Source organism: Homo sapiens, chromosome 10 (assembly GCF_000001405.40).
Source record: "Homo sapiens chromosome 10, GRCh38.p14 Primary Assembly".
NCBI classification, from domain to species: domain Eukaryota; kingdom Metazoa; phylum Chordata; class Mammalia; order Primates; family Hominidae; genus Homo; species Homo sapiens.
The window spans coordinates 117,169,890-117,183,067 of NC_000010.11; the positions used below are offsets into that span (position 1 = coordinate 117,169,890).

A 13,178-nucleotide genomic window follows, 5' to 3' on the forward strand; every position below is an offset into this window, starting at 1 on the left:
AATGACCTGGGTTTGGATCTTGATTTTTTTTTTTCTTTTCACTTATTAGCTGAATGACTCGGGGGCATGACTTACCTTCTCTCTGAGTGTCAGTTTAGTGCAATCTCACATGGTTGTTACAAAGATAAAAAAACAAAACAATGCATGTAAAGAGTTTGGCATAAGCCAGGGAATAGTATCTGTTATTTCTCCTAAAGCTGGACTTCGGTGAGATTTTAGCTAACGAAGGCTTGAAAATTAGGTTTGAGTTGGGGCATCAGAAGTTTTCACGTTGCATGGAGGGTAAGACTAGAGCCAGGGATGCACCACCACACCCAGTGATCATTCATGAGTTCACCCCTCCCAGGATTAACAACTGAACTCTCAGTGATGTCTTATCTTATAAGGCTCTAGTCTTATCCTCCATGCAATGTGAAACCTTTTCAGGTTCTCCAAGGATCCTCCTAGGTCCGACAGTCATCGTGGGCTTTTCTTGGGGGCAGTGCTGGTCTTTCTCCCCTGTATTCCTGCCTCTAGCATGCGGCTGGGCACACGGGGTCAGTGCTGTCTGCTGAAAGAATGGTTGATGACATCATCCCATCACGTGGCCTTTGCATAGCCAATTCCTTCTGCCTGAGACATTTATGCCTTTTCCCTTAGCTTAATTAACCCTCTCTGAATGGGTCAAATTCCCCTGGCATATGCTCTCAGAGGACCTCAGTGCACTTTCTCTTCAGAGGGTTTATCACTGGTTAAAACGTTAGATTTATTTGTTACTTATTTGTGTGATTACCAGATAGTCTTTCTTCTGTTCTAAACTTCATGAGGGCAGGAATCATGGCTGTTTTCTCATCATTGTATCTTTAGCACTTAATGCAATGGCTAATTGTTGAATGCAAGTGGTTTTTATGGTAGGGGGGAGTAGCTAGATTCAGAAACTGGTTTAACCCTAACCCTCACCCTAATCAGCAGTCATAGTAGCCAATTCACAATGCACTATTTCAATATGTTGTATAGGAAATTAATCTCCAGGCAAACTATTGCGCTACCAGGCAAACTATTCTGGAGGTAATACAATAGAAAGATCTAGTTAAGATACTTGAATCATACAGATTGTTGAATAAATTTTAAACACACAATGAGAAGCAAGAGGAAAGAGATGGGGTAGGTTAACACATATACCACAGAAGCAGGTGGGAAGTCCCCTTCCTGAATCCTGGGCCATTTAATATGCAATGTTCACATATTGCCTCCCACCCATATCCCTCCCACCCATATTAACTTTCTTTCTTAATGATGTGGTTACAAGGACCATAATTGAGGATGAGTGAAGGGACCCAACAGAAAGAAGGTGCCCGAGGCAACGATACACGCTTTTGCTATTGGAGAGCCAGGGGCAAGTTCTCCTGGCCACAGCAGGAGCATCCATTAGCCTCCTGAACAGCTCTCTCTGTTTATCTGTGCTTCTTGGGCAGAACACAACTGGGACCATAATGGGTGTCACCGATGGATGAGTGGCTGATTTTGGGAATCAGATAGCTGTCAGCCCTGATGTAGCATGAATGTATCTTACAACTTGGTCTTTTAATGTCTCTCTATTGGTCCATAGCACTCTGGTTTGTTCTATTATATGTTCCACTTATTGTATCTGTCTTCAACATCTCCCACAGGTTATTGATTTACTCATTATCCATGTGAATTCTGTGAGTTCTTCCTGAGTCTCACAGCTCCATCTTATTCATCCCCTCTTCTACTTAACACATACTATGAATTTTGCTTACGTCTTATAATCTACGGACTTGCTTGCTCTCCACATCTCATACTTATTATGAATGTATCCATTTGCTTTTCTTACCTTCTGAAGATTCCCAAATAAAACAGTACACAGGCACTACACAACACATTTATTAAATGCCTACTGTGTGCTAAGCATCATACTAGGCATCGGTAATCCCGACAGGATTCCTCTGAAACTTTCCATCTAGTGGAAAGACAGTTAACTAATCCCCCAGTCCTGTGAAATGATCCACTGTGTCAAGTGCCAGGCAGGGCTGGGGGAGATCTCTGCTGTCCCAGGAATGTGGAAGTGGGCAGTCCAGGAGAGCTTCCTTGACGATGTGGCATCTGAGGTCTGAGATCTGAAAGGTGAGCTCTAGTGTCCTAGGGTTTCAGAAATCCCTAATAAATAAACATCAAGGCAAAGTGTACTTTTGTTTGCACTATCTTAGTTTTGAGTCATATTTTGACTATTTCTTGTCCAACTTTGCCAGAGAACACTAACCTGTTGTAGTCCCCCAAAAGCACGAATGTTATGTTTTATACAACGATTGGAATGAAACACACCTATTGGCAAAAGATGCTGCACAACAGTGTTTAGGCTTACAAATGGTTCTAATGGGGATCAACAGCCTATAATTAGAATTTAACAATCCAAGAAAGGAGTAATATGCACCCTGCGGGACAGATTGGAGTCTTTTTCTTTAGTTCTGCAGGTTTGGTGGGTAGACTGGCTCCCGACTTCCCTCCTACAATAACTGTCCTACTGAGGTAAACATGTCACAAACAAGAACAATGAGATCACCAATAATATAACACTAATACCATAAACAAAAGAAACACCACCTTCGGCTCTGGTGGAATGAAAAACACAATGTGGACCAACTAACAGAGCTATTTAAAAAACAAATTACTCACAGCCAAGCCTTCATAGCTCTCCAAATGCAATTTTCCAGGAAGCTCGGTAACAAGCAGAAGTTTTTCCTGAGACGTACTAGCTTTTGCTGGTTTGGTTGCAGATCTGAGGTGTTGGACAAAGAAGAAAATGCCCCACATAAACCCACCATGACACTTATTCTCCCGGATTCCTCATTTTTCTCCCAACGTGAGACATTTCTAGTCACAGGTTACTGTAAATGGAGAGTCTTGCCAGCGTCAGTTCATCAACGACATTTTCCTAAAACCTCAGGCTTTGCACAAATGCCAAAACCCTCATCCTTGATAAGGCCATTTTTTTTAAAATGCACACATGAATAACAGAATGTGCACATTTTTATTTTTATTTTTATTTTCGGAGTCTCACTCTGTCCCCAGGCTGGAGTGCAGTGGCGCTATCTTGGCTCACTGCAATCTCTGCTTCCTGGGTTCAAGCAGTTCTCCTGCCTCAGCCTCCTGAGTAGCTGGGATTACAGGTGTGCACCCCCACACCCGGCTACTTTTTATATTTTTAGTAGAAACGGGGTTTTGCCATGTTGGCCAGGCTGGTCTGGAACTAACAGCCTCAGGAACTGCCCTTCCAACTAGAACCGAGCCAGACTGTCACCACAAACATCAGAGGAGTCTCAGCCCTGTTCCTCATTGCCCCTCTTCCTCAAGCTGCCCTGTGAAATGGGGATGCTGGGGAAGGCAGAGGCAATGGCATGAAGGCTCTAGGCCATTTCAGAGGAGGCACTAGCTGACATGAGGATGAAAATCACTGATGAAGGGGCTTGATCATCCCTGAACCAAAACCCTGAGTGTGCACCATCTTGGACAGAGTCTGCATTTTTGACCATGCATGAGAAGAAAGAGAATGCAAGTGCTCTCTTCATTCAGAGTTTTGAACCCAGATGCCTCAGAGGGCGCCTTCCACCCATCTCAGCTACAAGTCATGAATGGCAAATGAGACCTGAGCAGGGGAGGCCTGGGGGACAGCAGCAGCTCCCTGTTGGTCCTGTCGTCCCTCTTGAAGGTGCCTGCCAGTGCAGGCCAGGCTGGAGGCTGCAGTCATCTCTTGGTAGAGGGCAGGAGGAACTCAGGTCTGCCTGCCCTCTGAAGCCTTTCCAGACATCCCCAGGAATGGCTGCCGTTACCCAGTAGTCACGCACGCCTCAGATACATTGTTTTTCTTTTTTTTCTCCCCCAAGGCTCTGTTGCTTAGGCTGGAGTGCAGTGGTGCGATCTCGGCTCACTGCAACCTCCACCAGGTTCAAGCAATTCTGCTGCCTCAACCTCTGAGTAGCTGGGATTACAAACATGTGCTACTATGCTTGGCTAATTTTTGTATTTTTAGTGGAGACGGGGTTTCACCATGTTGGCCAGGCTGGTCTTGAACTCCTGACATCAGGTGATCCACCTGCCTTGGCCTCCCACAGTGCTGGGATTACAGGCGTGAGCCACTGTGCCTGGCCAGATGCAGTTTTTCTCATGCTTGTCCTTGCACATCTCCTGGGTGCAGGAATGTCTGGATCCCACAACAGTGATCTGTGCTGAACCCCCAAACCTGAAAGTCAGGGCCAATTCTCTCTGCCTCCCCCACTAGGTGAGGTCTTAGATTTTGCATGAAAACTAAAGGCCCATGAGCCCAAGGGTTCTCCCCTCTTTACAACTGTCTCCAAACTTAAAGAAGGAAATTGCTGGCTGAGTATACCCCCAGAAGAAGGAACAAGTGCTAGTGACATATTCACATGAGGACGGAAGCCTCATGAATTCAGACTATTCTAAGATACAGGTCATCTTAGGTGGGCTTTGTCATGCTTTTGGACGTGACTGCTGCATCTCCTTCTAGGAGAATTGAACCACTTCATCCTGGCAGCAAAACACACTGCCCACATCCCCATCCCAAACCGAGATGAGGGTCTGCAGTAAGAAGCGGCACATGGAATCTATAGCCGGAGTGGTTCTGACTTTAATTTCAGTGCCTGGAGAACACAGTCACAGCTCTTATCACTGTTCACAGGGCAGCTGGGGGAAGAGGGGCACTCAGGAATGGGGCTGGGACTCCTCTGATGTTCGAGGTGACAGTCTGGGCTCTGTTCTGGTTGAAAGGGCAGTTCCGGAGGCTGTAAAGCCTGGCAGAGGAGGGGAGGGGAGCGAGGGTGCTAGGATTCAGTCCTCTGGAGAGAACACTACAGACTGAATGCAGAGGCAGGAGTTCTGATTTGGAGATCATTTGGGTCTGAAGTATTTGAGTCTGAAATGAGGGAAACTCACGGTGGAGGACAGCTATTCTGTCACTCTGCAGATCCAGCATTATTCCACCATATGCTTTTCACGAATTAGTAGTGAAGTTACAATCTTGGGCGTTTTAAACTGATCTTTGCACCTGCTGGTGGCAGAGAACAGCATTTCCCCCGCCCCCGACTTCCTTTATGAGCTGGGAGGAAGCAAAATCCAGCTCTATTGTTGGAGCTCCCTCTGGTGGCAGTTTCCGAAAACGATCCAGCCCTGAGGATTTTGCGGAAGGTAGGCAACACCGAGGCATCCTGGGCATTCAGTAGGAAGCAATGAGAGGAAAGATCCTTGGCCCTTTCAGAGATGGGGCGAAGGGTCAGCTGTCCCCTCTGCAAGGTGGCAGATTCAGAAGAGTTGGAATTCCTCCGGAGTCGGCCCTGCCAACATGCGCACGTGTCCTGCGGGGTCAATGATCTGTGCAGACGACTTGGAAATCCGCTGCGTGCCGCCCAGGCGCGTGCATCTTTGCTTACCCTTTCCTAGATCGGTCTCAGCCCCGCAAGCAGATTGGCAGCTTCCGGGGTGCTGGGACGGCGCCCCCTCCTGCCTTCCCGCTAGCATCTGGCAGGGACTGGAGTGCTTCCTGGAGACCCGTAGGCCGGGGACAGGTCACCAGGTGAAGCAGCGCGCCTCCGGAGCTGATGCTGGGTGGCCGACTGCGTCCGCCACTTCTCCTGCCCGCCTGCCCGTGCTGTGTGCGTCCTCATAGGTCTTGACAGATGGTGGCGGCTTTGACAGTTCGTCAGCCCCGCGTGGACACTCGTCCCCAGTCACTGCTCTCGGATCGCCAGCTCTGCTTGAGAGACGTGGCGCAGCTGGGGTGGGAATTTGGAGGCAGCGGTGAAATGGGACGGGAACTGTGCTGTAGGAACAACAAAGACAGGTGCTCATGTCACCACGCAGGCATGGCTTGTGCTGAACGCCGGAGAAAGGCTCAGGGGAGCAGGAGGCTGCAGCACCGAGAGCATGGGACGTGAATATACGAGACCTGGGTTCCAGGCCTGGCTCCGTGGCTCTGGGCCAATTACTGCCCTCTCTCAACCCAGTTTCTGTATAATAACCCTGGTTGGACATGATGTTTTCGAAAGATCTTTTTCCAGATCCAGTATTTTCTTTAATATACATACATATTTTCTAAATGGCTGTTGGCTTGTTAAGTGGACTGGGGATAATTGCTACCGCTTTCAACGAGAGAAACTCGAGAATCTGAAACTCAGTATTTCTACGAATTTGCGCAACATGGGAGGTCATCGCCTGGACACCACTGCCCCCTTGCGGCAACTCATCTAAATTTGTAGGTGGTGACAAGGAATTCAAGGGCTTGAGGGTTCAGGCCTTATAAACTTGGGTTTATAAAGCGGTTGGATAATGTCCCCAAAGCTTTATTCATCCCTGGAAGGAACTGTAACTAGATCAGAGGCTTTATCTGCTTGATGCCATAATGCCTTTCCCCTGCCCTCAAGACAGTTATTTACAGGCACCCTCTAAGTGGATCTAGAGCCAGATTACCCAAATCCACTTGCAAATTAACTCAGATTAAAATTTGCAAGCTTCTTGGGAGCGGAGTGAGGCGGTTAAAAAAAAAAGAATAAAATTTGCAAGCTTCTGAGACCTAGTATGCTCCTACTCCAGAGCGGATTCATTGATAGAGGAGATGACACTAAGTCCATATGGTATTTCTGGTTATTAAACACCCCATTTGTATGGACATAATCTTTTCTCTTTTGTTTTTATTGAAGTAAAGTTTACATAACACAAAATTAACCGTTTTAAGTGAATAATTCAGTGGCATTTAGTACATTGACTATGTTACGTAAACCATCACCTCTATCTAGGTCCAAAATATAGATATATGTATCTTTTGAGAAAGAGTTTCGCTCTTGTTGCCCAGGCTGGAGTGCAGTGGCATGATCTCAGCTCTCCACAACCTCTGCCTCCCAGGTTCAAGCAATTCTCCTGCCTCAGCCTCCCGAGTAGCTGGGATTATAGGCGCATGCCACCACGCCCGGCTAATTTTTTTGTATTTTTATTAGAGACGGGGTTTCTCCATGTTGGTCAGGCTGGTCTCGAAATCTCAACCTCAGGTGATCCGCCTGTTTCTGTCTCCCAAAGTGCTGGGATTACAGACGTGAGCCACCATGCCCGGCCAAATATTTTTTGTCACTCCAGAATAAAACCCTGTACCCAGGATGCAGGTAGACCCCATTCCCAATACTTCATGCACCTGGCAGACACCAATTTGCTTTCTGTCTGTATGGGTTTACCTATTTTGGGTATGTAATAGAAATACATATACTTTCTGTCCATTTGTGTTTGTTTCTTTCACTTAACATAAGGCTTTTGAGGTTCATACACATCGTGACATGTAACAATACTTCATTCCTTTTTATGGTTGAATAATATTCTGTTACGTGTATATTCCACATTTTGTTTTTCCATTCGTCCACTGATAGACATTTGGGTTGTTTCTACTTTTTGGCAATTGTGAACAATACTGCTATGAACATTCATATACAAGTATTTGAGTTCCTGTTCTCAATTCTTGTGGGTATGTATCTAGGAGCGGAATTTCTGGGTCATATAGGAGTTCTCTCCAGGCTGGAGTCCAGTGGCACCATCTCGGCTCACTGCAGCCTCTGCCCCTGGGCTCAAGTGATCCTCCCACCTCAGCCTCCTGAGTAGCTGGGACTACAGGCACACGCCACCACCATGCCCAGCTATCTTTTTTGTATTTTTAGTTGAGACGGGGTCTTGCCATGTTGGCCAGGCTGGTCTTGAACTCCTGAGCTCAAGTGATCAGCCTCCCAAAGTGCTGGGATTAGAAGCATAAGCCACCTTGCCCGGCTGAAAGTGCTCTTTAGAGTGAAGGGTCATTAAGAGGGGATGGATGACAGTGTCCTCCAGGATATGCCAATTCCTAACACCTTGAATTAGGCCATTCTTGTGTTGCTATTAAGAATACCCGAGGCTGGGTAACTTAGAAAGAAAAGAGGTTTAATTGGCTCTTGGATCTGCAGAATGTATGGGAGGCATGGTGCTGGCATCTGCTTCTGGGGAGGGCGTTGGGAAGCCTCCAATTATGGTGGAAGGCAAAGGGGGGTTATGTGTATCACATGGAAAAAGTGGAAGCAAGAGAATGACGGAGGAGGCCCCACCAGTTTTAAACAACCAGATCTCATGTGGACTAACAGCGAGAACTCCCTCATCATCGAAGGGACGGTGCTAAACCATTCATAAGGGATTGAGAATCACATCAACATGAGACTTGAGAGGGACAAACATCCAAACCACATCACACCTCCTTGTTGATTCTCTGGTATCTGCCACAGGTTTGTGGGCTGGCTGGTTTGGCTTTGCTTCAGATGGGGTTCCTGGGGCCTCTGGGCACCAGGTGTCTAGGAACAACAGCTCCCAGAAAATGCTCTTCTTATGGTGCATAACAGAAGCCCGAGGGGCTAAACCAATCCATGCAAACACATTCAAAACCTTGGCTGCCATCACGGCTATTTCACTGGCTAAAACAAGTCACGTGACCAAACCAAATTTTAATGGAGAGGCCATGTTAATACTGTGAAAGAAAAGTATCTTGGGACCCCAAAATCACTAAGCTAAAAGAAAAACTCAAGCTGGAAACTGCTTAGGGCACACCTGCCTCCCATTCTATTCAAAGTTATCCCTCTGCTCACTGAGATAGATGCATATCTGATTGCCTCCTTTGGAAAGGCTCATCAGAAATTCAAAAGAATGCCACCATTTTCTCTCATCTACCTATGACCTGGAAGCCTCCTTCCTGCTTCAGGTCTTCCTGCCTTTGTTTCCAATTGTCCTGCCTTTCCAGACTGAACCAATGTACTTCTTACATGTATTGATTGATGTCTCATATCTCCCTAAAATGTATAAAACCAAGTTGTGTCCCAACCACCTTGGGCACATGTCATCAGGACTTCCTGAGACTGTCACGGGCGCACCCTCAACCTTATTTTAACTTTCCAAATTAACTGAGACCTGTCTCAGATTTTCTGGGTGTACAATACTCACCAGCTCTATCAGGCAGCACTGCAGTCACATGGCAGAGGGTGTGGCCGTATCATTCTCTTACAGGCAAGGATTAAAGGATTGGGGACGGTCATCTTCCCCCCAACTCCCAATGAGGTTTCTTAGCTGTAATTTAAATGCTTAATTTACCTTTTCTCCGACATATTTACATTTTATCAAAGACATTCATGATCTTCATACAAAAGACTTTGTACTGTGGGATATTTTTAGTTAGCGATCCCCCACGCCCAAGTGTGGAGCAGCCAAGCATCTGCAAGAAATGCCTTCAGGGAAGCTGGGCTCCCACTCAGTGGAAACCTTCAGTCTCCTTTAACCTCAGCCTTTTAAGGACCATGAATCAATAAGTGGCATAAATTATTCACCTCGCGGAACATTCTCAGAAATGGACAGCAGGCTGGAGAAATCGCCAGCAGGAGATGTGTTCTTGCAGTGTTTGGGCCTCTGCTCACCTTCTGAATGGCTGGAACTTTCTATTAAAAATTCAGATTTCAGAGAAGAATGAATCTAAGCTGTTCAGAGATTTCAATGAGACTCCATGTTTCCTTTTCAGACGCAACTAACTGGTCTACGGGGCCTCTTCTGCAGGGTCGAAGGGAAGCGCTTGTGTGCAGACTTGCTCAGTGTCAGGAGCAGCTGGCTGCCTCCCTGATGTGATCTCAGACCTGGTGAAAGGACCTGGCCTCTGCTCAGAAAGGTCTTTTCTCCTGGTGAACTGAGACATCAGAAGTTCATTCCATTTCTGCCGGGTGCAGTGGCTCACGCCTGTAATCCCAGCACTTTGGGAGGCTGAGACAGGCAGATCACCTGAGGTCAGAAGTTCGAGACCAGCCTGGTCAACATGGTGAAACCCTGTTTCTACTAAAAAACAAAACAAAACAAAAAAAAACAAAAATTAGCCAGGTGTAGTGGCATGCACCTGTAATCCCAGCTACTCGGGAGGCTGAGGCAGGAGAATCGCTTGAACCCTGGAGGAGGAGGTTGCAGTGAGCCGAGATTGTGCCATTGCACTCCAGCCTGGGCGACAGAGTGAGACTCCATCTCAAGAAAAAAAAAAAGTTGTTCCATCTCTAAAAACCATTCTGAAAGCTGAAAGTTCTGCCTCTTTGAAAGATGCCTTTCAGAATGCAAAGACTTTGGAAAGGAGGGAAGGTAAACTAACATTTATCAAACACCAATCACCCACCCACTTTAAACATTTACTTCTCTCTTGTCCTCTCTGTCCTGGTAATCTTAGCTGTCCGGGTTTCTTCAGATTCTCAGCTCATTCTTCTCACCCAGCTCTGCCATGGTTCCCCATCCCTGTGCCACACCTGGAAACTGAAGGCAGTAAGCTGCGACAACCTTAGGATTTCCCCTTGTTTCAGGGGTCACTGTCCTTTGTTGCTTGATGTCCAGTTTTTCAAAAAACCGTTGCTTCATATAATTTAACTTTTTTTTTCAGGTGGGAGGATAAATCTGATTTTTGTTTCTTCATCTTGACTGAGCAAATGACTGTCTTTGAGTTCATTAATTCTGCCTTCTATTGTGTTCAATTTTCAGTCAAATGTATCCAGTAAGCTATTTTTTTAAAAACTAGACTTCATTTTTAAAGAGCAGTTTTAGGTTCCCAGCAAAGTTGAGCAGAAAGCACAGAGTTGACATATACCCATACCTCAATGCATGCAAAACTTCCCCACTATCAACATCCCACACTTGAGTGGTACATTTGTTCAATCAATGAACCTACATTGACATCATTATCACTCAAAGTCTGCAGTTTACATTAAAGTTCACTCTTGGTGTTGCAGATTCTATGAGTTTGCATAAACGTGTAATGACATGTACCCACCATTATAATATCATATAGAGTAGTTTCATTGCCCTAAAAATTCTGTGATCTGTTTATCTCCACGCCCATCCCCACTAACTCCTGGAAATCACTGATATCTTTACTGTCTCCACAGTTTTGCCTTTTCTAGAATGTCATATGGTTGGTATCATGTAGTAAGTAGCCTTTTGGATTGGCTACTAGTAACATTCATTTAAGTTTCCTTCATGTCTTTTTATGGCTTGATGGCTCATTTCTTTTGAATGCTGAATAATATTCCATTGTCTGGATGTACCACAGCTTATTTATTCATTCAGCTGCTGAAAGACACTTTGGTTGCTTTCAAGTTTTGGCAATTATGCATAAAGTTGCTACAAATACCCATGTGCAGGTTTGTGTGTGGACACATGTTCAACTCATTTGAGTAAATACCAAGAAGCATGCCAGGCGCTGTGGCTCATGCCTATAATCCCAGCACTTTGGGAGGCTGAGGCGGGTGGATCACTTCAGGTCAAGAGTTCGAGATCAACCTGACCAACATTGTGAAAACCCATCTTTATTAAAAATACAAAAATTAGCCAGGTGTGGTGGCAGATGCCTGCAGTCCCAACTACTTGGGAGGCTGAGGCACAAGAATTGCTGGAACCCAGGAGGTGGAGATTGCAGTGAGTTGAGATTGTGCCACTGTGCTCCAGCCTGGGCCACAGAGAGAGACTCCATCACACACACATACACACACACGCGCGCACAAGCATGATTGTTGGATTATACAGTTAAGAGTATATTTAGTTTTGGAAGAAACTGCCAGCCAGGCGTGGTGGCTCAAGCCTGTAATCCCAGCACTTTGGGAGGCCGAGGAGGGTGGATCACTTCAGGTCAAGAGTTCGAGATCAGCCTGATCAACATGGTGAAAACCCATCTTTATTAAAAATACAAAAATTAGCCAGGTGTGGTGGCACATGCCTGCAGTCCCAACTACTTGGGAGGCTGAGGCACAGGAATTGCTGGAACCCAGGAGGTGGAGATTGCAGTGAGTTGAGATTGTGCCACTGTGCTCCATCCAGCCTGGGCCACAGAGAGAGACTCCATCACACACACATACACACACACACACACACACGCACAAGCATGATTGTTGGATTATATAGTTAAGAGTATATTTAGTTTTGGAAGAAACTGCCAGCCAGGCGTGATGGCTCACGCCTGTAATCCCAGCACTTTGGGAGGCCGAGGAGGGTGGATCACCTGAGATCAGGAGTTCGAGACCTGCCTGGTCAACATGGTGAAACCCCATCTCCACCAAAAATACAAAAATTAGCTGGGTGTGGTGGCAGGCATCTGTAATCCCAGCTACTCAGGAGGCTGAGATAGGAGGATCACTTGAACCCAAGAGGCAGAGGTTGTGGTAAGCTGAGATCATTCCACTGCACTCCAGCCTGTGTGACAGAGCGAGGCTCCATCTCAAAAAAAAAAAAAAAAAAAAAAAAAAAAAGTCTTGCAGGACCTAATGATTAATTAGACTTTAAATTAGGAATAATTAATTGGACTTTAAATCAATCACTGGCCGAAAGTCAGCCTCTGGCTCCTATTCCTTGCCTAGACAATCACCCAGGGTGCTGGATGGGGCAAAAGGGAAGTTTCTTTCACAAAGAGGACATATATATATATATATATATATATATATGCTTTCACAAAGAGGACCATATATATAAGGTGGGGTAGCCAGGGTTCTTCAGAAAAACAGAACCAATGGGATATATAAAGCCATAGAAGAGGAGATTTATTGTCGAGATTAGCTCACTCTATTATGGGGACTAGAAGTCCCCCAATATGCTGTCTGCAAGCTGGAGACCCAGAAAAGCCAGTGGTGTAATTCAGTCTGCGTCCAAAGGCTGAAAACCAGAGCCGCTGGTGTTGTAACTCTCAGTCCGAGGCTGACGGCCTCAGAGACTGGGGGACCACTGGTGTAAGTCCCACAGTCTTTAGACCCAAGAATTCAGAGTTCTGATGCTCCAGGGTTCTGATCAGAAGAAGGATGCCCCCAATCAAAATGAGAGCAAGTTTGCCCTTCTGCCACTTTTTTGTTCAATGCAGGCCTTCAATAGATTGGATGATGCCTGCCTGCATTGGTGAAAGCAGACCTTCTTTACTCAATCTACTGGTTCAAATGCTAATCTCTTCCAGAAACATCCACACAGACACTCCCAGAAATCATGTGGTGCCAGCTATCTGTACATCCTATGGTTCAGTCAAGTTGACACATAAAATTAACCATCACAAGTGGCTTAAAAGAAATAGAAGTTGATTGGTCTCTTGCTGATGTCCAGAAGCAGCAGTTCCAGTTTGG

The 13,178-nt window shown here is 46.0% G+C and overlaps 1 annotated feature.

The window, feature by feature from the left end:
* Positions 5,230 to 5,409: an enhancer, noted in NCBI's record as "active region_4096". NCBI's record gives its function as "activates an Ori minimal core promoter by ATAC-STARR-seq in GM12878 lymphoblastoid cells {active_cell/tissue: GM12878}" and the evidence as "EXISTENCE:reporter gene assay evidence [ECO:0000049][PMID:35858748]".